Here is a 25,620-nt window from a genome sequence, read left to right as displayed (position 1 = left end):
CTTAATGTAGCCAGGTGCAGTGGCTCACACCTGTAATCCCAGCACTTTGGGATGCTGAGACAGTCAGATCACTTGAGGTCAGGAGTTCGAGACCAGCCTGGCTGACATGGTGAAACTCCATCTCTACTAAAAATATCAAACATTAGCCACACATGGTGGCTCATGTCTGTAATCCCAGCTGCTCGGGAGGCTGGAGCATGAGAACTGCTTGAATCCGGGAGGCAGAGGTTGCAGTAAGCCAAGATCACACCACTGCACTCCATCCTGGGTGATAGAGCAAGACTTCATCTCAAAAAAAAAAAAGCTTGATGTGTTGTGGTCCAGCATCCCATATGAGGTATGTCCATCTTAATAGTATGACCATAACTCATTTGGGTGATAATGGCTTAAAATTTTTTTTTTGTAGTAGGAATAATCCAAGTTTATAATGCAGTTTAGCCTCATGCAAGAACGAAAAGAGATACTTTAAATAGGTTTTTACAAGGTTCTGCTGATATATTTATTGAATGAATAAAAGAGGAGGTATGTCAAGTTCTTAGCAGTATGTCAGGGGCATAGTCAATACCGAATAAATTGTGAAAGGCCAGATCTGCAAGTGAAAGACATGTGTTTTTTATAATGGCAACTTCCTAAGTTTGGAATCTATTTTAAAGAAGTAGTTTTTCACCCTGTGTTCTAAACAGAACTGTAGGGTCCTGAAGAGGTGCTTAATGGGTTTCTGTGTAGATTGGGGTGGGCAGTGTGTGTGCAGACTTTGGAGTATAGAGAGGGCAAACTAAATGGGTGAAACTCTGGGCCTTCCACCCCTGCTTGGCGCCACTTTTGTATTTTGCCATTTGACAAATGACTGTGATGTCATTAAAAAAAATAAATAAAGGAATCTGTTATTTGGGGAAAAAACACTCTAAAAACAACTTACCTAAACATACTAGCTTTTTAAAATAACTGGTATAGCTCACTCATTTGAATCTGTATTTTCAATATTTTTACTTGGTATGTGAACCTGTTTTTGGTTACAATAAATAGAAAATTCTTCCTCCAGCTGGCTTTATTAAAGGAAGGAAATTTACTATTTCAAAATTGGAAGAAAGATAGGATTTTTATTATTTATTATTTATTATTTTTGGTTTTAAGGAGCAGAAAGTTTAATAGGCAAGAAAGAGGAAAGAAATAAGAAAACGGCTGCCTGATATAGAGGGAGGGGGGGCTCCGAACGGATAAACCCCCAGAAAGATAGGTTTTTAGCACAGTAATATCATCAGCTCAGTGATACCATCATGATTCCAGTTCTTTACATTTCTTACCTCTGCTAGAAGTGTCAGCTTTATCCTAAGGCTGGAGCCTCTCATGACTGCAAGATAGTCTTGCATATAGTTGCCATATATAGGTTCTTAAGGCCCTGTGTATCTGGCTCTTGTCTACTCCTGCCACTCTCTTCCTCCTCATATACTAAGATCTAGCCATGCTGGCCTACTTTCTGTTTCTCTAATGCACCAAGCTCATTCCCACCTTCAGGCCTTTGCACTTGGATTTTTCTCCTCTTGAAGCAATGTTGAACAGCCCTCAGATGTTCACATAGTCATTTCTTGCTTGTGGTTCTTCAGGTATCTGTTCAAACAGCATCTTCTCAGTGAGATTTTCATTGACCACCTAACCTAAATTACAGCCATATTGGCCAGGCACAGAGGCTCATGCCTGTAATCCCAACACTTTGCGAGGCTGAGGCAGGAGGACTGCTTGAGTCCAGGAGTTCAACACCAGCCTAGGCAACATAGTGAGACCCTGTCTGTACCAAAAAAATTTTTTTAATTAGCCGTACATGGTGGTGCATACCTATAGTCCCAGCTACTCAGGAGGCTGAGGAGGGAGGATCACTTAAGTCCAAGAGGTCAAGGCTGCAATGATCACACCACTGTATTCCAGCCTGGGTGACAGAGTGAGACCCTGTCTCAAGAAAATTAAATAAATAAATAGGCCTGGCATGGTGGCTCACACCTACAATCTCAGCACTTTGGGAGGCTGAGATGGGTGGATCACTTGAGGTCAGGAGTTTGAGACCAGCCTGGCCAACATAGTAAAACCCCATCTCTACTAAAAATACAAAAATTACTTGGGCATGGTGGTGCTTGCCTCTAATCCCAGCTACTCGGGAGGCTGAGGCATGAGAATCACTTGAAGCTGGGAGGCGGAGGTTACAGTGAGCCAACATCACGCCACAGCCTAGACAACAGAGCAAGACTCTGTCTCATAAATAACAGCCATGTTGTCCTTGTCACAATCATTCTCAGCCATGTAACCCTGTTTTAGTTTCTACAAGGCACTTATCTGAAATTTGCTTGTTTATGATCTGTCCTCTCCCAGTAGAATGTGAGCATGTGAGAGCATGAGAACAGGCACCTTGTCTTTCTTGTTCAGTGCTGTATTCCCAGTGCCTTAGTATTATGTCTGGCACAAAGTGGACACTTGCTAATGTATGTTAATTTGATGAATGAAGGATTAACTGTAAGAAACTCATATCTCATCTTTAAATTTTACTGTCTTGGGAGGTATATAGATTATATGCAGCATTGTCTTGGAGAGATCCTTGAGAGGAATGTTTGTCTTTTAATCCACATGCTTGCTACGTAATCAAGAATAATTCCTTAAGTGGCAATAATATGTTCTATAATTAATGAAAGATTTGCTCTTTAGAAACTTTCATTGTAATTAGAAAGTTAAGACTGCAAAACAGTACACTATGATTAAATGTTAGTTTTGTAGTACATGGTTCTTTAGAAGATGAGAGGATTTATGTTCCTTAATTGTAGCATTTATAAAGAATTGAAGAATTATTTGAAGTATTGAAGAATTATTATGTTTGTGTCCGTGTTTCTCTCTTGCTAAAGTGAGCCACTTAAAAATGGGGAATGTCTTTATCTTCAACATCTAGAATAGGATATTACAGATCTTGTATTAATATATATTTAATAACAATGGGATTGAGCAATGTAAGCATATGAAAAGGCTTTATGAAGACAAGTGGATAGAGTTTATATAGATTGGAGTATGAGTATGGTAGCTGCTGAGAGATAAGGCATACCTTTGGCAAACATTAGTGCTGATACAGAAAGTCAAAGAGGAGAACGTGAAAAGCAATTGGCGAGAATCTAAGCCTTGAGAATAATGATGAGGAATCTGGGGAAGGTGGGAACTACTGGAGAAAATCCTGAGAAGAGAATATATAAGGTGACAAAGTGTCAAGTGGAGCTGGAGAATGAGATCTGAGATAGGTTCACTAGATGTGGTTCTTGACAATGTTTAAATGTATACTTTCCACCCACCGACCCTCCCTATACCCACTAGTCAGTAAAAGGGAAACATTATTGAGGCCCCAGGGCCATGGGGCTTGGGCAGGAGGCCACCCAGTGGGAGAAGGAGGAGCCAGGGGAGGTGTCTTATTTGACCTTCTTTTGGGGGCACAGCATGTTTTGTGGCTGTACTTCTTGCGGCAGTTACGGCACAGGGATGCAGGTGAGCATAACCCTTGAGGCAGATCATCTTGTCGCAGTTGTGTTTCTGAGCGAGCTGGTGCAGGCAAGGCCCATTGGTGCCACCTCACGGGCAAAGCACCAAGTGCAGGCAGACTCTTTCTGGATGTTGTAGTCTGAGTGTGTGGCCATCTCTCAGCTGTTTGCTTTCATGTGTTTTAAGCCTCTATAAAAGTATACTTTATGATTAAAGAGCTGGAAGAAAGAAGAAAGAATCTCCATCTAGATTTCACATACAGCTTTGTAAAATGGCAGATACAATCAAGGGCTCTGGGAGAAGACTACCTGTTTTCTAATCTCAACTTTTTAAAGTGATGATGTATTTTCAAGATAGGAAAGGCATATTTGAAGAAAGAAGGGAAGAACCTAATGAGGGGAGACATTGAAGCTGTTGAAAAAAGACAGGGTTCATTGAACATATGAAGAAATTATTTTCTGTGAGAAGGTACACTTTTTCTGAGACAAAAAGGAAAGACTCTTTGTGAGCTATAAAGATGGAATTGTGTTAAAAGACCTGGCCAGAGCAAATTCAGAATGGCTCTTCTTTCCTAAGTTGGAAGTAAGGTCTTCTGTTGTGATTGACAGTAAAAGGCTTAAGGAGAGAGAGTGAGATCTGAAACTGCTTAGTGGATGCAGCATTAAGGGCCAGTTAAAGTTGGAGTAGATGAATTTTAAATTAGAATGGTTTGCATAGTTAAAGTGCTGTCAGCTTAAGAAGAGACAAAAATGTTTAAGTGAAAGTGACCCTTGTTAGTGTATTAGCCCATTTGAAACTGAGGGGGATTGAGAGTCTAAAAAAGTTGTAAGGACCCAAATGAGGTATATTAGTAAAGAAGTGCAGTTTAAATAGAGATGTCAAAGGCAACCCCAGCCTGTGGGCTACATAATCCATTAGGTAGGGGATTTTTCTTTCCGAAAAAGGGAATAATTTATTTTTGGTAAATGTGAAAAGATCTGATTTGATGAAATAACAATTACAGCATTTTAAAATTTACCTTGTTTAGCTTCAAAATGTAACTATAAGTAGTCTTAGTTTCTTTATATTCAAATACACTAATAAGGAGTTAATGTAAAAATATTCAGATTTACTTCTAAGTGAATTTGTATAGCATTTCCTTTTCTTCAATTCTTATTTTACACATTTTTTACATTTTTATACATTTATTTTAAAATGAGAAATGTTTTATAGGAATGGAATGCATGCAAATATATGACAAAGGTAAGAAATTGAACAAAATTTATTCAATACCATGACTTACTGTTTGTTTTAAAGATGTTAGCTAATCTCTGTGGCCTTACTGCTTTTTCTTCTTTGTCTTCTTCTTTTTAAATAGACTGTTTGGATTGCATAAGAAAGTCATCAATATGGTACACAATTTACTCTCCAGTCACGACTCAGACCCGCGGTACTCTGACCCTCAGATAAAGGCTCGAGTGGCCATGTTGTATCTACCTCTGATTGGTATTATCATGGAAACTGTACCTCAGCTGTATGATTTTACAGGTACCTAGTATAATTAAGGCAAATATTAAAGGCAAAGCTCAATGTTTAAAAGTGTTAGAAAATATCTCAAGGATGAAGATCTTATTTTAGGAAAATAAGAATTGTGTGCTGATCAAAGTAAACTATAAATATTAAACTATATTGCCAGAAAACCTTTGACCGTGTGAGAGAATTCCGTATAAGATTGCTTTAAGTAGTTCTTATGATGAATTTAAAAATAATGATTTTATAGCAATTCTGTACCTACATTTTAGGAAATGTTTGTGTGAACATGCAGTATACATCTGAAAAAATACAAGAAAACTTGACAGATGTTTACCACCTCAGTTTTGACTTGATTCATATATATAAAATTGAAATGAATATTCACTTGAATATCAGGAATTGTGTTTATTGCTAACACCAGGTTAATAAGTTGAAGTGGTATTACTTCTTCAAAACTAGAACCTACAGAGTTTTATTGCTCTTGCTTTCCATATTTAGAATTTACTTAAATACAGAATTTAGTTTGCAACAATATTTTCTTTAGGGCAAATGAGGGAATTTAAACCAGCAATTAGCCCGATAGCTTCCAGTTCAGTAAAACAGAAACATTTCCTGAGTATCTAATGTGTATTAAGAACTTTGACAGGTGCTGGTGTTGCAAAGATAACCAGCTATTTGCCTTAAGAGACTGATTGTTGAGCAGTCTTTCAAGTATTTTGATCACTAAAATGAATTTCCTTACCTGAAGGCAGAAATGTTTATATTCTTACATCTTCTGACTAGCAAGTTAATGTTCTCTGTAAACTATAAATTATTACCATAGCAATGAGTTACTGTTAAAGATATTTAAAATATTATCCAAAAGAAGTAAATCTAATAACTATAACATGTCAACAAGTTATTCTTTTAAAGAATAGTGGAGAATAGGAAAGGGAATTAGTTCAGCTAAACAGTTTTATTTATTTTTTTGGATTATTTTTCTTTAGAAACTCACAATCAACGAGGAAGACCAATTTGTATAGCCACTGATGATTATGAAAGTGAGAGCGGAAGTATGATAAGCCAGACCGTTGCCATGGCAATCGCAGGGACATCGGTCCCTCAACTAACAAGGCCTGGCAGTTTCCTCCTCACGTCAACGGTAAAAACAATCCTCCTACAGAATTTTTTTTTCTAGAAAGACAAATATTTACTAGGATATGCCCTTAAATATATGAGATGATTGTATCAGCTGATGCAAAAGTGCTCAGTTTTATTTATGAAAATATTAAAGTTCCCAGAATATTAACTGTCTTCTCCCAAACAGTTTTAAAAAATGATTACCTCAAGGTTTATGGGAAAAAGCCCCGTATTCTGTCATTCAGAATTTGGAAAATTGCCTCATTATAGATAGTTCATTTCTTTTTTTTTTTTTTTTATACTTTAAGTTTTAGGGTACATGTGCACAACATGCAGGTTAGTTACATATGTATACATGTGCCATGTTGGTGTGCTGCACCCAGTAACTCGTCATTTAACATTAGGTATATCTCCAAATGCTATCCCTCCCCCTCCCCCCACCCCACAACAGGCCCCGGTATGTGATGTTCCCCTTCCTGTGTCCATGTGTTCTCATTGTTCAATTCCCACCTATGAGTGAGAACATGCGGTGTTTGGTTTTTTGTCCTTGCAATAGTTTGCTGAGAATGATGGTTTCCAGCTTCGTCCATGTCCCTACGTCCATGTCCCTACAAAGGACATGAACTCATCATTTTTTATGGCTGCATAGTATTCCATGGTGTATATGTGCCACGTTTTCTTAATCCAGTCTATCATTGTTGGACATTTGGGTTGGTTCCAAGTCTTTGCTATTGTGAATAGTGCCACAATAAACATACGTGTGCATGTGTCTTTACAGCAGCATGATTTATAATCCTTTGGAATAGTTCATTTCTTTATTTTTTTAAACCTGTTTTATTCTTTGTCAGCCCTAAGAAAGATTCTCAGTCATTTGAGGGTTTTTTTAATCTGTGAATATTTATACTTTTTTATGTTTTGAAAACACTTGATATTTACTATGCCCCTGAACTTTTCCCCTCTTAAAGGCAGAAGGATCAGGGCAGGAAGGAACCAAATTGCCAATAGAGCAAGATCAAGTTCTAAAAGTTTTAAATGACATTTTTTTCCAGAAAAATGCAGTAATATTTAAGGAAACTTGACAATTTTATAGCTTTATTAAGATTATTTACATATCAAAAAATTCACCTATTGTGAGTATATATACCTTAATGGTTTTTAGTATATTTACGGAGTTGCGCAGGTATCACCACAAGCTAATTTTAGAACATTTCCAATACGCTGAAAAGATTCCTTATACCTATTAGCAGTCGTTCCTACCCCAGCACTAGAGAGTGACTAACCTACTTCTATCTATAGAATTGCCTATTCTGGACATTTTATATAAATGAAATTATTTACTATATGATCTTTTGTGTTTGTATTCTTTCACTAAGCATAAGTTTTTGAGGTTCATCCATGTCGTGTATGTATCAATACTTCTTTCCTTTTTTATTGCCAAATAGTATTCCATTGTATTGATACACCAAAGTTTGTTTATCCATTTGTCAGTTGATGAACAGCTGTATCATTTCCACTTTGGGGCTGTTAAGAATAATGCTGCCACGAACATTTATGTACAAGTCTGTGTCCACATATGTTTTCATCTCTCTTAGGTAGATACCTAAGAGTGGATTTGCTGGATCATATGGTACTTCTATGTTTAACATTTTTAGAGACTTCTAAACTCTTTTTTTTTTTCTAATGTGGCTGTACTGTTTTTCATTCTCATCAGCAATGAATAAGAATTTCTGTTCTCCAAATCCTCATCAACACTTGTTATTATCTGTCTTTTTGATTAGGACACCTTTAGTGATTGTAAATTGGAACTTCACTGTAGTTTTGATTTGCATTTCCCTAACAACCTACAGATGTTGAACATCTTTTTGTGTGCTTATTGGCACATTGTTTTGTATATCTCCTTTGGAGAAAAGTCTATTCAAATCTTTTGTCATTGGTCAGACACAGTGGCACACACCTGTAATTCCAGAAATTTAGGAGACTGAGGTGGGAGGATTGCTTGAGCTCAGGAGTTTGAGACCAGCCTGGGGGACATGACAAAACTCTGTTTCTATCCAAAACCACAAAAAATAGCCGGGCGTGGTGGCATGTGCCTACTGTAGTCCCAGCTACCTGGGAAGCTAAGGTGGGAGGATTGTTTGAGCCTGGGAGGTGGAGGTTGCAGTGAGCCAGGATTGTGCCATTGCACTCCAGCCTGCACAACAGAGCAAGACCCTGTCTCAAAAGAAAAAAAAGGTTGCTATTTTAAGATTTCTTAAGAGTTCTTTATGTATTCTGGATTTGTAAAATAATCAGCTATCTGATTTACAAATACTTTCTCCCTTCCTATGGATTATCTTTTTACTTTCTTGATGGTGTCATTTGAAGTGTGAAAGTTTTTAATGAATTCCAGTGTAGCAAATTTTTTTTATCAATTGCACTTTTGGTGACATTCTACCTATAAAATAATACAATAAAGTGCATGTACAAAATGTAATAATAAAATAAACAGCAGCATATCCACTGCTCAGTTTAAGAAATCAGACATTACAGCCTGGTAACCTTTGAAGCTACCAGTGGCCTTCCTCAATTTGATCTCTCCCTCCCCTGGGAATGACCATTGTTCTCAATTGTATTAACCTTTTTATTTTTTTTAACTTTTCTTTTGTGAAGTATACTACATATGACAAAGTACATAAAACATAATGAGGTTTTAAAACATTAGAAAATAAACAGCTTTGTAATTACCACTCAGGTCAAAAACAAGGATGTTGGCTGCCATCCAGAAGTTCTTAGCATGCCCTTTCTCAACCACAGCAACCCACCAAACTCTCAGTGTCCTGATTGATGATATAATTGCATAATTTTGTTTAGAGTTTTACCATCTAGGCCAGGCATGGTGGCTCACGCCTGTAATCCCAGCACTTTGGGAGGCCAAGGTGGGCAGATCACTTGAAGTCAGGAGTTCGAGACCAACCTGGCCAACATGGTAAAACCTGATCTCTACTAAAAAATACAAAAAAATTAGCCAGACATGGTGGTGGGCGCCTGTAATCCCAGCTACTCAGGAGGCTAAGACAGGAGAATCACTTGAACCTGGGAGGTGGAGTTTGCAGTAAGCCTAGATCGCGCCACTGCACTCCAACCTGGGCAACAGAGCAAGACTCTATCTCAAAAAAATGTATAGATAGAGAGTTTTACCGTCTAAGTTTGCATTTTAAAAATATATAGTTTATAGTAATATATATATATATATATATATATAGTTTGGTTGGTTGGTTTTGTTTTGTTTTTTGAGACGGAGCCCTGCACTGTAGCCCAGGTAGGCTGGAGTGCAGTGGCACGATCTTGGCTCACTGCAACCTCTGCCTCCTAGGTTCAAGCGATTCTCTTGTCTCAGTCTCCCGAGTAGCTGGGATTACAGATGACTGCCATCATGCCTGGCTAATTTTTGTATTTTTAGTAGAGATGGGGTTTCACTATGTTGGCCAGGCTGGTCTCAAACTCCTGACCTCAGTTGATCCACCTGCCTCGGCCTCCCAAAGTGCTGGGATCATAGGTATGAGCCACCACGTCCTGCCAAAATACTGTAGTTTAGTTTTATATTATGTTTTTAGTATTCATTAATGTTATGAAATGTAGCTATAATTCACTGATTTTCATTTCAGTATGATATTCCATTGTCTAACTATAAATCAGTTTATTTGCCCATTCTGTTGATAGGTGCATGAATGGTTTCTGATCCTTGGTTATTGCAAATAACAATTTTGCAGACTTTCTTTTATATATATCCTGCATGCATATATATACTTTTATTTAGAGTATTTTCTAGAAGTGGAATTTGTTGGGTCATAGACTGTGGGTATCTTAATCTATACCAGGTAATGGCCAACTATTTTCCAGAGGGCGTACCTTAATTTATACTTAACACATACAATATGAGAGTTCTCATTCCTTCACATGTTCATCAATACTTAGAGAATTGTCAGATTTTTAAATTTTTGCCAATCTGGTCATTTATAGTTGAATCTCATTTTAGCTTGTATTTCCCCGAAGACTTGTGCGGTGTGCACTTTTCCATAAGTATGATTGACCATTTGGATTCTCTCTTTTGAAGTGTCTAGAGTTCTTTGCTTGTTTTCCATTTGGTTGTTTGCTTTTGTTTAATGATTTTTAGGACTTTGTATGTTCTAGATCAAGTCCATTGTCAGTTATAAGTGGTTCAAATATTTCTTCTCTGTGGCTTGCTGTTTTACCCATTTAATGGTGAATTTGGTGGTTAGAATGCCTAATTTTATTTTACTTTTTATTTATTTATTTATTTATCTTGGAGACAGAGTCTTGCTCTGTCACCCAGGCTGGAGTGCAATGGCACAATCTCGGCTCACTGCAAGCTCTGCCTCCCAGGTTCACACCATTCTACTGCCTCAGCCTCCTGAGTAGCTGGGACTATAGGCACCCGCCACCATGCCTGGCTAATTTTTTGTATTTTAGTAGAGATGGGGTTTCACCATGTTAGTCAGGATGGTCTCGATCTCCTGACCTCGTGATCTGCCCATCTCGACCTCTCAAAGTGCTGGCATTACAGGCGTGAGCCACTGTGCCCAGCCTAGAATGCCTGATTTTAATATACTTAAATTTAGTCTTGCAGCTAATATTTTCTATATCTTATTTAAGGAATTTTTTTCTGTTTCAGAATTTTGAAGGTATTCTGTGTTACATTCGAAATTTTTTGTTCTTCCTTTTACATTTAATTTTAAAATTAAAATCTACCTGAAATAGATTTTTTTATATACAGTGTAAGTTGGGAGTCCAGGTTCATTTATTTATTTATTTATATTGCATATTATGCCAGATTATTTCAGCACCGTTTATTAAAAGAATATTTTCCCTACATCTCTGAAATACTGCCTGTATATGGTCTACCATGTAGAGAAAGTCATACATTTTTAAAATTTTTCTTGGCTACTTTTTGGCCCTTTGTATATCTACATAAATTTGAAAATCAGCTTGTAAAGTTCCACTAAAATAAATAAACAAAAACCAATAAACCTGTTAAAATTTTAGTTAAGATTGTATTGAATTATGATTATACTATTGAATCTCGTAATTTTTGAACACAAATCCCCCCATTGTTTAGGCTGCCTTTAGTGTCTTTCAGTACATAAACTTTTTTAGTTTCTACCAAGGAGGACTAGCATATCTTTTGTAGATTTATTATTCGTGCTTGATATTTTTTAATGTTCCTATAAATGGTGTCTTTTTCAAAAATTCTGTTTTCTAACGTTGATTGCTTTATATGGAAATAGAATCAATTTTTGTACAGAAACAAAATACTCATTATCAAAAAAATTGATTTTTGTACAATGATTTTTATTTCCACAATATAAAATAAATGATAAAGTGATAAACTAATAACATATTTGTAGATTCTTTTTTTCTACACACAATCATATAATTTGTGAATAATAACAATGTAGTTTCTTCCTGTCAGTTTTTTTATATATGTAATTTATTGTACTGGCTAGTACCTCCAGTACAGTGTTGAATAGAAGTGGTGATGTTTGTATCTTTAAAGGTAAAACTTTCAACATTTCATTCTTAAACATATGTTCTGTATGTTTTGGGTTTTTTTTAAGATACCTTCCTTTATTGTGGAAGTCTCTTTCTGTTACTAGTTTACTAAGCATTTTGTTTTTTAGTTATGAATAGTTGAATTGTTATCGAATGCTTTTTCCACATTCATTGAGATGGCTGTATTGTTTTGCTTTTTGGTCTTTTAATGTTGTTTATTTAAATTGATTTTCTAGTGTTAAACCAACATTGAAATCCTGAATTAAACTCAACTTCTTCATAGTTGTGTACTAATGGATTTCGTTTGCTAATATTTTGTTAGGATTTGTATACGTATGTTCCTAAGATTGCCTATAATTTTTCTTTCTTATATTCTTTTCAGGTTTTAGAATCAAGTTTAGGCTAGCCAATTAAAATGAGGTAGGGAGTTTTCTCTTTTATCCTCTTCTCTGCAAGTACCTAAGATTAGAATTATCTCTTCCTGGAATATTTGGAGAACTTATGAAACCATCTGTGCTTGAAGTGTTTTCTTTTTCAAGTTTTAAAATTACTGTTATAATTTATTATCTGTGAGACTATTGAAGTTTTTTGTTTCTTCTTACATTGATTGTATTTATTTATTTTTATTTTATTTTATTTTATTTTTTGAGATGATATCTCGCTGTATCACACAGGCTGGAGTGCAGTGGCATGATCTCGGCCCACTGCAACCTCCGCCTCCTGGCTTCAAGCCATTCTCCTGCCTTGGCCTCCTGAATAGCTGGAATTACAGGTGCCTGCCACTGTGCCTGACTAATGTTTGTATTTTTAGTAGAGACAGGGTTTCACTACGTTGGCCAGACTAGTCTTGAACTCCTGACCTCAGGTGATCCCCCCGCCTCAGTCTCCCAAAGTGCTGGGATTACAGGTGTGAACCACTGCACCTGGTCTTCTTAACAACTGATTTTTGTAAATTTTATTCTAGTAGAAATGTATTCAAATTTCTTGACTTATAAAGTTATTCAAAAATACCTTGTATAATTTTTTAAATGTCTGTATCATCTGTAGTAGATGTAAACTTTTTTCTACGGCTAGATTTTTGTACCTTTTCTTGTCTTTATCAGTCTTACCAGACAGTCGAAATGTATTGTTAGTCTTTATAAAGAACCAGTATGGTGGCACTGTTGACCCTCACTTTTTAAAGTTTATTATTTACTATCTTCTGCTTTCTTTGGGTTTACATTCATGTTCTTTTTCTAACTTCTTGAGATAGATGCTTAACTCACTAATTTTCATCCTTTCTTTTTTGATATGTATTTTCAGCCTATGCATTTTTCTTTGATTGTTTAGTTAAATGCTGTTTATATGTAACATTTTTTTCCCTTTTTTTAAATTATACTTTAAGTTCTGGGATACATGTGCAGAATGTGCAGGTTTGTTACATAGGTATACACATGCCGTGGTGGTTTGCTGCACCCCTCAACCCATCAATTACATTAGGTATTTCTCCTAATGCTGTCCCTCCCCTACCCCCCTACCCCCTGACAGGCCCCAGTGTGTGATGTTCCCCTTCCTGTGTTCATGTGTTCTCATTGTTCGACTCCCACCTATGAGTGAGAACATGTGGTGTTTGGTTTTCTGTTCCTGTGTTAGTTTGCTGAGAATGATGGTTTCCAGCTTCATCCATGTCCCTGCAAAGGACATGAACTCATCCTTTTTATGGCTGCATAGTATTCCATGGTGTGTATGTGCCACATTTTCTTTATCCAGCCTATCATTGATGGGCATTGGGATTGTTTCTAAGTCTTTGCTACTGTGAATAGTGCCACAGTAAACATACAGGTGCATGTGTCTTTATAGTAGAATGATTTATAATCCTTTGGGTATATACCCAGTAATGGAATTGCTGGGTCAAATGGTATTTCTAGTTCTAGATCCTTCAGGAATCAGCACACTGTCTTCCACAATGGTTGAACTAATTTACACTCCCACCAACAGTGTAAAAGCGTTCCTATTTCTCCACATCCTTTCCAGCATCTGTTGTTTCCTGACTTTTTAATGATCGCCACTCTAACTGGTGTGAGATGGTATGGTATCTCATTGTGGTTTTGATTTGCATTTCTGTAATGACCAGTGATGATGAGCTTTTTTTCATATGTTTGTTGGCCTCATAAATGTCTTCTTTTGAGAAGTGTCTGTTCATATCCTTTGCCCACTTTTTGGTGGGGTTGTTTTTTCCTTGTAAATTTGTTTGAGTTCTTTGTAGATTCTGGATATTAGCCCTTTGTCAGTTGGATAGATTGCAAAATTTTTCTCCCATTCTATAGGTTGCCTGTTCACTCTGATGATAGTTTCATTTGTTGTGCAGAAGCTCTTTAGTTTGATTAGATCCCATTTGTCAATTTTGGCTTTTGTTGCCATTGCTTTTGGTGTTTTAGTCATGAAGTGTTTGCCCATGCCTATGTCCTGAATGGTATTGCCTAGGTTTTCTTCAAGGGTTTTTATGGTTTTAGGTCTTACGTTTAAGTCTTCAATCCATCTCGAGTTAATTTTTGTATAAGGTATAAGGAAGGGATCCAGTTTCAGTTTTCTGCATATGGCTAGGCGGTTCCGAACACCATTTATTAAATAGGGAATCCTTTCCCCATTGATTGTTTTTGTCAGGTTTGTCAAAGATCAGATGGTTGTAGATGTGTGGTGTTATTTCTGAGGCCTCTGTTCTGTTCCCTTGGTCTATGTATCTGTTTTGGTACCAGTACCTGCTGTTTTGGTTACTGTAGCCTTGTAGTATAGTTTGAAGTCAGGTAGTGTGATGCCTCCAGCTTTGTTCTTTTTGCTCATTGTCTTGGCTATACAGGCATTTTTTTTAAAAAATGTGTATCTTATTTATTCAACTTAGTTGCATTCTCTTACATCTTCCCCAAATGGTTTCATCTTCTCTCTCTCTTTTAGCCAGTTAGTCATCCCTTCTCATCGCCTCTAGGATCACATTGCCTACTACATTCTCCCTTCTGTCATCTGTGACTTCTAAATTGTGAGCTGGGGGAACAAGTTTATCATAATCAATAGGTAGCATTTTCAAGATTCATCTCAGAATGACTCTGAAGTTCATTATGATTTCTTCTTAGGCCTTTGAGCTATTTAAGAAGTTGTTTTTGTCTTAAATTTTCAGTCATGAAAATTTCTAGATATCCTTGTTTCTGATTTTGGCCAAATTAAATGATCAGAGAGCATAACTCTGTATGATATCAGTTTGTTATGTTTGTGGAAACTAGTTTTATGGTCTAGTATATGGTCAGTTTTTGTAAATATCTCATGTATTCTAAAAGAATGAATATTCTTTCATTGTTAGTTACAGCATTCTATGTCCTGTACTCTTGTTGTTTAAATCTTTTTGGTCTTTACTAAATTTTGCATGCTTATTCTAATATCCCACTACAATTGTGGTTTTGTAATTTCTCCTTGTCATTCTGTCAGATTTTTGTTTCTTTTGAGGCCTGATTATGAAACATTTAACACTTTTATATAATTTTTGGTGGATTGCACTTTCATCTACATGAACTATGATGCTTTTTAAAGTAGTTATAATTACACTAGGTTTTCTTTGCTCTGTGTGTGTGTGTGTGTGTGTGTGTGTATAGCATGACTTTTTCATCCCTTTCAACATTTTTGTATTATGTTTTAGATACTTCTTTTAAAAACAGCATATAGTTAGATTTTTTTCTTGTATCTTAAAAATCTGGTTTGTTAATCTCTCTCTTTCACTAGAGTTTCTAATCCATTTACATTTAGTTTAATTAAATTGGATGTATTTAACATTTTATGTTTTACTTTATATTGTCTTACCCCATTATAGTTTTTTTTTTCTCTCTTTTATTGACTTCTTGTTGTTGTTGCTGTTGTTGAGAAAGGGTCTTGCTCTGTCACCCAGGCTGGAGTGCAGTGGTGCAGTCTTGGCTAACTGCAGGCTCTGCCTCCCAGGTTCAAGTGATTCTCCCACCTCAGCCTCCTGAGTAGCTGGGATTACAGGTGACTGCCACTGCGCCTGGCTAATTTTTTTTTTTTTTTTTGAGATGGAGTCTCACTCTGTCACCCAGGCTGGAGTGCAGTGGCGCAATCTCGGCTCACTGCAAGCTCTGCCTCCTGGGTTCACGCCATTCTCCTGCCTCTGCCTCCTGAGTAGCTGGGACTACAGGCGCCCGCCACCACGCCTGGCTAACTTTTTTGTATTTTTTTAGTAGACACAGGGTTTCACCATGTTAGCCAGGATAGTCTCAATCTCCTGACCTCGTGATCCACCCACCTCAACCTCCCAAAGTGCTGGGATTACAGGCGTGAGCCACCACGCCGGACCAATTTTTTTGTATTTTTAGTAGAGATGAGTTGCACTATGTTGGCCAGGCTGATCTTGAACTCCTGGCCTCAAGTGATTTACCTGACTCAGCCTCCCAAAGTGCTGGGATTACAGGCATGAGCCACCACATCCAGCCAGTTTTGTCTATATTTCTAAACAATATTTTATTTAGCTTCACATATTTTCACCTTTTTATGAATATATACTATGTGTACTTCTATGACTTGATTTTTTTGTATATGTTTGTAAGAGTCATTTATGTTGATATGTATAGTTGTAGTCTGTAATGTCATAGCAGTCCGTTAGAAAATATAATTATGTATTCATTCTCTTCTCAAAGGAAGTTTGGGTTGTTTGTAGTTTCGGGCTGTTACAGATAAAGGTATTATGAATGTTCCTTTACGTCACTCTGTAGAAGAGTTTCGCTAAGGTATATACCTAAGAGTGGCATTTTTGGGTTAGAGGTTATGCACATGTTCAGTTTTACTTGGTTAGATTGTTTTCCAGTGTGGTTCTAGCAATATATATTCCTTCTAGCAATGAAGAAATATTTGTTGCTCCATGTTCTTTCTAATACTTGATATTGTGTGTGTTGTTGGAGTTGATTTATAAGAAGTAATGAGATGGAAAGTTGAAGTGGTGGTTGTGAAGAGAGATCATTAAAATGGAGGTGGTTTTTTTGTTGTTGTTTTTTGAGACAGAGTTTCACTCTTGTTGCCCAGGCTGGAGTGCAATGGCGCAATCTCGGCTCACTGCAACCTCCATCTCCCGGGTTCAAGCAATTCTCCTGCCTCAACCTCCTGAGTAGCTGGGAATACAGGCATGCACCACCACGCCCAGCTAATTTTGTATTTTTAATAGAGACGGGGTTTCTCCATTTTGGTCCGGCTGATCTCGAACTCCTGACTTCAGGTGATCCACCCGCCTCAGCCTCCTGAAGTGCTGGGATACAGGCGTGAGCCACTGCGCCCGGCCTGTTTGTTTTTTTGTTTGTTTGTTTTGTTTTTGTTTTTTAATTGGCATGGTGGGACATACCTAAAATGGAAATTTAGGGGAACATGCCATAATGGTAATAAAAGGCATAAGGTTTGACTGCAAGGGTGAGTGTGTGTAGTAAGTGGTATTCTTGAGAATTAGACAAGTTGGTTAAGGAAGTAAAAAATAGCACAGGATATTTAGAGAATCAAATACATAGACATTGAAATCACTAAGAACTGTGACAAAAAGTAGTGTTTAAAATAGTGAAAGTGAGTCAGGAGCTAAAAGCATCAAGATATAAGGGCCAGTCTTCTGGAGATTAGTATATGACTGCAGTGATGAAGGTTAGTAGGTTGTATAGTCTGACAAAGATACATGTGTTCTTATACATCTATGAGAACATAAGCTATGTATTCTTATAGATATAAAGCAGTTTTGTTAATGATTGACCATGTGTTTCAGAGGTCATAGTGGAAGAATTTTAGGAGAAGGGGCAGACATGGCAAGTGAGGTAAGAAGAGACAATATAAAGAGCTATGTGTGTGGTGATCAGAGTCCGAGTCATGAATGAAGCCTTCTGAAGGCTGGGCCTGTTGAGGTGGTAGACACAAACTGGGGAAAATAATTTAATGAGGTTAATCCTGATGGTCTGAAGGCAGAGAGTAATCGTGAAGCTCTGGTTGTTATAATATGAAGGAGAGGTATGAATCTTGGCCTAGAAAATGTAGAACTCTGGGACCTCTTCCTCATTCCTGGTAATAATGTTATGAAACAATTCTTTCTGTTTTCTAGAGGTCATCCCTTCTCAACCAGAAAATTAAGAACTAATGGGCTAGGGCATTTATTGTAGGTGATAGATTAACTTCTATACACCTAGAGTGGTCCTTGCTATCAATGTCTTTGGGAGAATGGGGAAAATAGTCCCTCAAATCCTTTTTTGTAGGGCTTAATTATGCCACGGAACCCTGGTTGAGACTGTTCTGGATACTAATCTCAGGTTGGTTTTATATGTGCACATTTCTACTAATTTATGATGTGCCTTTTTAATGTATTTATTTGAATGAATACAAATTCTCATTTTTAATGTAGGCAAATGTGACCATCTTTTTTATGGTTTATGTTTTTTATGTCTTATTTAAGATATACTATCCTTTCCCCAAGATTATAAATATATTGTCTTATATTTCCTCCTGAAAGTTTTAAACATTTTGTATTTAAAGTTCTTTCTTTGTCTAGATTTATTTTCTGTATGGTGGTACAAGGTAGGAATCTGCTTTTTTTTTCCTCAAGGAAGATCAGTTGTCTCAACATCATTTATTAAACAGTTCATCCTTTCAGTAGTGATCCACAGTGCCAGCTCTGTCACAGATCAGATTTTCAGATATGCATAGGACACTTTTTGTGTTCTTTATTCTGTTTCATTTGACTGCCAAAAATATGCCAAAATCAAATTGTCCTAATTATTTTAGTTTTTTAGTAACTGCAGATATCTGGCAGAACACATTCATCTCCCTGCTCCCCACATCCCACCTTGTTCTTCTTCAAGAGTATCTTGGCTCTCTGCTTTTCCCCCATTAAATTTAAAAATCATTGGTCAAAGTTCCAGGAAAACCTGACTGGGATTTTGATTAGAATTGCACTGATCCTATAGAACAATTTGATGGAAAACTGACATCTTTACATTACTGAGTCTTTTTCATGTTTGTCTTAATTCTTCCCAGAGATGTCACTGTGTTACTGGCAATTTATGTGGGAATATAAGAGATGTCAGCATATGCCTGTTTGTCAAGATGAGAATAATTTTTTATTGTATTTCTAAAAAATAGGTACTTGAAAATTCAGTCAGTGCTGTGTATTTATGCATATCTGAAAGTTCGGCTATAAAAAGTGTCTGTCTTTAAAATAAAGGAGCATTTTCCTTATGAGAACAATTGTGGATTTAGGGATCAGGGTCAAAGTTCTTTTGTGCCCAGCTCAGAAGCAGTATAGCAAAATAGTTAAGCAAGCTTATGTGGGTGAATTCACTTATATGCATGGGCAGCCATGAGAGGCAGTAAACAAAGTGGATATGAGCTTGGAGCTTGTGTCTCGGGAGCCACACTTTCTGTGTTGAAACTGTTGTCCCGCCTCTTATTACAAAATACTTCTGGTGGTCAGGTTTTTTTTTTTTTTTTTCTGTAAGATGAGGTGAGTAATAATACTTATTTCTTTGAGTGATTGTGAAGGATAAATAACTTAATACACATAAAGCATTTGGTCATTAATTATCATCCACTATAGAAGGAAGATTGGTGAGGTAGTTGAGATCATGACTTCAACAGTTGTGTATGTTCAGCTTTCCTATGTCTTTCCTCTCAACATCCCCTCTACTTCTTCCTCATTTTTAGTTAGTATATTTGTCAGCCGAGTATTAGAACATTGTATAATAGTGAAGAGTATGGGCTTTGGAGTCTGGTTAACCTAGACTAAAATCCTAGCTTTACCCTTTCTTGGTATAGTAAGGCAAATTACTCTCTAGCCTTCAGTTTTCTTGCCTGTAAACTAATAATAATAATAGTTAATGTTATAGTTTACAGTTGTTGTGAGAGCTAAATAAAACATGATTAGCATAGTTTCTTGCACATTTCAAATTTTATTTTTTGCCATCATCATTATTATTATTATTATCATCTGTATTTTTATCTGTAAAATTGGGATGATACGACCTGCTTGGCAATACTGTTGGAGGACTAAATCAAATAATGTATGTAAAATGTTTAGTATGATGACTGAAACAGAGTGTATGTCCAATAAGTGGTACTGTAAATGTGTTTTTATTTTTTCATTTCTGTTTTACATACTATATACTAATATAGATTGATGATTGAAAATAGCATTTCAACCTTATATGCTATAAGTAGAAATAGCTTTTTACTTCTATATAGCCTAAGACTTTTCCTTTTTGTATCAGTGGTGCTTGATTAAAAACAATAGTCTTCTAAGTCTGACATACATGATTTTGTCATTACTTTCTACTCTTAGCCCACTCTTATTTACTGTGAGTCAGTTGCTTTTTTCCTTTATTTTCATTATATCTGATATTCTGTGATATATATCTTTTAGTTTTTAATGGTAGAATCTTTTAGTTTTTATCTTTATGTTTTTTATTAACATTTATTTATCCCCTGCTGGCAGTCATGCAGTAGATTAAAACAAACTTCTGTTATCAGGAAAGGTTCATTAAACTTCAGGCTCTTAACCTTAAGGTTATATATGATCCTTTTGTACAAGTGTTGTCTGAATCAAATGGTTTTTAATTATATTATTTTTAAGCAACTTTTGTTTTATTGTTTTTAGAAGAAAACAGTTGATAGCCAAAAAACAAGAAATGGTCTTTGATCAATCTGTCTCATTCTACTGCTCTTTATTTTCAGAGTGGCAGGCAACACACTACCTTTTCAGCAGAATCAAGTCGAAGCCTTTTGATCTGTCTACTTTGGGTTCTCAAAAATGCAGATGAAACAGTTCTACAGAAGTGGTTTACAGATCTCTCAGTCTTGCAGCTAAACCGGCTATTAGATCTGCTTTATCTCTGTGTGTCTTGCTTTGAGTATAAAGTAAGTGGTCATTGTACCATTGCAAAGAACAAGAAAGGAGAAACATAATGTGGAAAAAATAGAAGAAAATTTCCTCAATACCTCTTCTCTTCTAATGTTTACATTTTAGGGGAAAAAAGTGTTTGAACGAATGAATAGCTTGACCTTTAAGAAATCAAAAGACATGAGAGCAAAGCTTGAAGAAGCTATTCTTGGGAGCATAGGTGCCAGGCAAGAAATGGTACGGCGAAGCCGAGGACAGCTCGGTACGTACACAATAGCTTCTCCTCCTGGTGAGAATTTCTTCAATTTCCTTGAGTTGTATATTGTAATGATCATTGTTGCTAGTCTTCAATGTCAATCCTATGCTTTTTAAAAAGTGTTTTAAGTGTAACTGTGAATTAACTTGAATAATCATTTCTCTGCAGTAATAAAAGTTAGAATTCTGATTTAGGTGAGTCAGCATACCGCCCCCCCCCCCCCGTTTTCTCTAGAAAGTCTTCTCTAGAAAACGTTCTCTAGAAAGTCCTCTCTAGAAAACTTTCTCTAGAAAGTCCTTATGTGATTAATAGCATCCATCCTCCCTTTTTAAATAGACTTTATTTTTGTAGAGCAGTTTTAAGTTCACAGCAAAAGTGAGCAAAGGTACAGAGATTTCCCATATACCCCTTAGTATGCGTAGCCTCCCCCATTATTAACATCCCCCATCAGAGTAGTGCATTTGTTGTAACTGGTGAACCTACATTAACACATCATCACCCAGAGTCCGCAGTTTACATTAGGGATCATTCCATATAACATCTATTTTTACTTTTTTTTTTTAGTTGAGACAGATTCTCGCTCTGTCACCCAAGCTGGAGTGCAGTCGTGTGATTGTGGCTTACTGCAGCATTGACCTCCCTCGCCCAAGCAATTTTTACACCTTCATCCCCCAATACACACCTACCCTGGTAGCTGGGACTACAGGTGTGTGCCACCATGCCCAAGTAATTTTTTTTTTTTTTTAAACATGGTCTCACTGTATTGCCCAGGCTAGTCTTGAAATTCCTGAGCTCAAGTGATCCTCCCACCTTGGCCTCTCACAGTTCTGTGAGCCACCACGTCTGGCCTGTTTTTACTCTTTATTTGCAAAATGAATTAATATGCCCTGTATATAAGGCAAAAATATTGCCCATCAAACTCAAATATCAGTGAGACAAAACAGTTTAGTAGCATTTGAGACTGGTTTTCTAATCCCAGGTCTGCTACCCATTAGCCAAATAACCTTGGCCAAGTCACTTAATCTCCCCATCTTCCTTTTCCTTATAAATTTGTGATTGTTTTCAGAATTTAGAAGATAGTGTAACTAACTGATCTTATCATCTTTATAGTAACCATGCATGCAGAAACGTTTTGTAAATTCTAAAGTGACATACAGACAATACTGTTGCTAAGAGTTTCTTAAGGCCAGGGCCATGGGTTGGTCATCTGTGTAGATGATACATGCCAACAGCACAATATTTATTTGTTGACTTAAAATATGAATGTAAGTGTGAATGGATTTTTAATTGTTTTCTGACAGTTCATTAGCATAATAATAATCTAAGTATCATTTATATACTATGTTTTGTAATAATGAAAAGGCACAGTCTTTGCCTTTAAAAAAATTAATAGAGCACCATTTTTTCACTTTAGTTATATACAATTTACAGTGTACTTTTGGGTTTGTTTGAATATAACAATTGAAGTCTTCTTGTCTTATAATTCTTGTAATTCTTACTTGTCTTGTAATTCTTATTTACATTTCTACATTTAAGCTAGGTCAATAATAGACATTGGCTTATTAGGTCTACTAATAGACATTGTTTTCTTTTTCTTAACTTTCAGTTCTAAGACATTATTAACTATTGAGAGTTTCGTGGGAAAAAATGTAAATGATAGAATATTATAGTTAATTTTGCTAACTATCTTAATATAGGCATATCTTTTTGTTTTTTTCCATAAATTTCCTAAAGACATGGATTTCAGAATTTAAAAAAGAGAAAGAGATAAGGAAAGAAAGGAAAGAAAAGGGAAAGAAATTAGAAGAAATAGAGCCATGTCCTTTATTGTACAGGAAATGATTCTTATTTCTCAGTATTTTTTGTATTTCTTTAATTGACATATGTATAGTTGTATTCTTTTGTATTTGTTTTTCAGTATTTTTAAAAATTTATATTTGAACTCTGAACATTTACTTTCATTATTCTTCATCCTCTTAACCAATTTAAAGTCTTACCTTTTCCAAAAACAAGCAGTTTTATAGTTGAAAGTTTGAAATTATGACTGAGTCCATTGTTTAAATGTATATTTGTGTATTCTCCACATTCTCAATGCTGTCTCCACTCCTAATGGATTTGTATGAATCATTTCTATTGCTGCCACCCCTTAAAGGAACCCATACATGCAGTCTGCCTTCAAACCTAGAAACCACTTTATCAGCCTAGACATAACATGCTTGGACAAAGTACATATCATTTCTGTTCTTAAGGAGCTTATATACTTGTGGTCCTAAGTGTTATGGAAAGGAACAAAGCAAAAGAAAAGGAAAAGGAGGTATTGGAGAGTGGGAGGCCTTTCTAAGGAGGCGATAAAGGAAAATTTGTGAGAAGAACAATTAGGAAAAAGGAACAACAACCATTGCACAGGTTGTAAGTCAGAAGCGTAGTCAGAGTATATACTGATAGATTCGCAAGGATAACAGAAAGCGGTAAGCAAGAGGAAGAATGGTAGGAAATAAAGTCATATCATGTAAGGCCTTATAAGCCATGGTTAAGATTTTAAGCAAACCAATGTTAGAACATTTGCTTATTTAAGTGGGTATTGTTTTAAAGAAAAGATACTGCATATAGCAAGTACATTTCTTCTGAAATTATTGTGAAAATTTTTAATAAAAAGCACCATTGTCAGGTTTTTCAACTTGTACTGAGGATAAAATGGCTTGTACAAATTATTGTTGTATATTTCTTACATGATTGCAAGTATACATATATGTGGTCCAACTGAAATAACATTTGAAAATTGGTTTTGAAATTTATTTGACAGAGAGAAGCCCATCTGGAAGTGCCTTTGGAAGTCAAGAAAATTTGAGGTGGAGGAAAGATATGACTCACTGGCGTCAAAACACAGAGAAGCTTGACAAGTAATACAGCTTTCTATTTTATGTTACTGATGGGTGTGTTGAATTTTAAAATGTAAGAGGAAAATGATAACTTTTACTTTATATTTACATTTAGTATTTACACTTAATAAATATATTAAGTCTTAGAGAACAAAATATTTAATTTAAAAATTTTAGATTTAAAAAGATTTGGAGGAAGAACTTCTCGTGGTATAGTAAGGCAAAATATTATATTTTAAACTCCATTTTCTTTAAAACATCCTCTTGGAAAATGCATTCAGCAACTATTTTTTGAACATATTTTAGGTGTCACATTGAACTAATATTTCAAATATTACAAAGAATCAGAAACCTGACATTTGTCGTTATGGAGCTTATAATATAATTCAAGAAAGACAAAACAATACAGGTCTTCTGTTTCTAGCATAAAGGCAGACTTGATACATTGACTGATCCTACTGCCATAAACACCTACAATACACTTACATGAATCTTCTTACTGCCCAAGTGGCTGCAGGTAAACTTTTCTGGCTTGAGATTTGGCACTGAGTCAAGGGGCTAAAATTTTTTTCTTGAGAATTTCTAATTATAAGTTAGCCCGCAAGTAGCTTCACTGGCCCATAAAACTTTGAGAATGGAGTGACCAACTCATTTCAGGTTTGCCTAGCACTCTCCCAGTTATAGCACTGATTGTCCCACATCCCAGGGAGCCCTTTAGTCCTGTCCTAAGGCAAACCAAGATGATTGATTACCCTATCTGAGAACCATCATCAGCCCAAGCCTCAGAAGATTCTCACAAATAAACTTTCACAATATTTTCTCACAGACAGTAAAATCATAAAACAGAGGAAACAAGTGAGAGCCAGCAGAGAAACAAGTTTCAGTACCATATGTATGAGAGCTTGAAATAATCAGATATTGAATGTAATATAAATATATTAAAATTCTTAACCTTGGAATGTGTGCTTTCCTTTCTTTTTCTCCGTCTGTCCAAATCTATTTCTCTGATGGTTTTTCTACATGTGTTATTTTTTAGAAATCACAGAGTAGCCAGGTACTGTACTATCAGTATAGTAGTGCTTTATTTCTGCATTTGTAGAATGTGTTCTCTTGGCTTATCTTGCTGTGTTTTGAGGGAGACTTTTTTGGTGTTCTCCTGATTCTTTTTGTTTAAACCATCTTATGTTTCTTTATAAAATGTCACTGGAAATTTTAAGTTTGAACATTAAATATTTTATTTTCCAGTTTAATTTTGATAATTGTATTCTTTTTTTTTTTTTTTTTTGAGACAAGATCTCACTCTGTCACTCAGGCCAAAGTGCAGTGGCACAATCATGACTCACTGCAGCCTTGACCTCCTGGGCTTAGGTGAGCCTCCCACCTCAGCCTCCCAAGTAGCTGGGATTATAGCTGTGCACCACCACGCCCAAATAATTTTTGTAGAGACAGGGTTTTGCCATGTTGTGCAGGCTGGTCTCTTAACTCCTGGTCTCAAGGATCCCCTACCTCAGCCTTTCAAAGTGCTTTTATTCTTAAATTGAATTTGTAAACTGTAAATTAATGAAGTATTCTCTTTAGTGGTAATAATAAAGACTCACAGACTTACAGATCTAAAAACTTAGAAAAGTTAGTGTTTAATATGGCCTTGTACTTTATGTGTTATTTTGTCTACTTTGGTGTAATATATAGTATCTGTATATCTATTATTGCTAAAACAAAAATCTCAACTATATTCATAAATCATGTGTAATTATTCTTACATTTTTATTTGCATTAAATGATACTTTTACAAATATTAGTATTTAAGTAAACCACTTTATTGCATCAAACTGTTTTGTTCTTTTTTCTTTATTATTTTTCTAGCTTTATTGAGTTATAATTGACAAAATTGTATATATTTACAGAATATA

General features: G+C 35.9%; 1 protein-coding gene across 14 annotated transcripts in view, besides 1 other annotated feature; it reads left to right on the top strand.

Moving 5' to 3' along the window:
* DOCK7 (dedicator of cytokinesis 7) overlaps positions 1 to 25,620 on the top strand; it is a 233,661-nt gene that overhangs the window by 154,079 nt on the left and 53,962 nt on the right. For 8 of the 14 annotated variants that reach the window (XM_047432966.1, XM_017002639.2, NM_033407.4 and 5 more), the window contains 5 exons: positions 4,862 to 5,031; positions 6,003 to 6,157; positions 20,410 to 20,592; positions 20,702 to 20,864; positions 23,635 to 23,731. In XM_047432966.1, the coding sequence (XP_047288922.1) occupies positions 4,862 to 5,031; positions 6,003 to 6,157; positions 20,410 to 20,592; positions 20,702 to 20,864; positions 23,635 to 23,731 (768 nt within the window). The remainder of the gene's footprint in view (positions 1 to 4,861; positions 5,032 to 6,002; positions 6,158 to 20,409; positions 20,593 to 20,701; positions 20,865 to 23,634; positions 23,732 to 25,620) is intronic. The other 6 variants (XM_047432967.1, NM_001272001.2, NM_001272000.2 and 3 more) reach the window with 1 other exon arrangement.
* Positions 3,453 to 3,661: a silencer, noted in NCBI's record as "fragment chr1:62996318-62996526 (GRCh37/hg19 assembly coordinates)". NCBI's record gives its function as "represses an EF-1alpha promoter that drives an FKBP-Casp9 reporter gene in an ReSE screen in HepG2 liver carcinoma cells {active_cell/tissue: HepG2}" and the evidence as "EXISTENCE:reporter gene assay evidence [ECO:0000049][PMID:32094911]".

This window comes from Homo sapiens, chromosome 1 (genome assembly GCF_000001405.40).
Source record: "Homo sapiens chromosome 1, GRCh38.p14 Primary Assembly".
In the NCBI taxonomy this organism is placed as follows: domain Eukaryota; kingdom Metazoa; phylum Chordata; class Mammalia; order Primates; family Hominidae; genus Homo; species Homo sapiens.
This window is presented reverse-complemented; position numbering and strand designations above follow the sequence as displayed.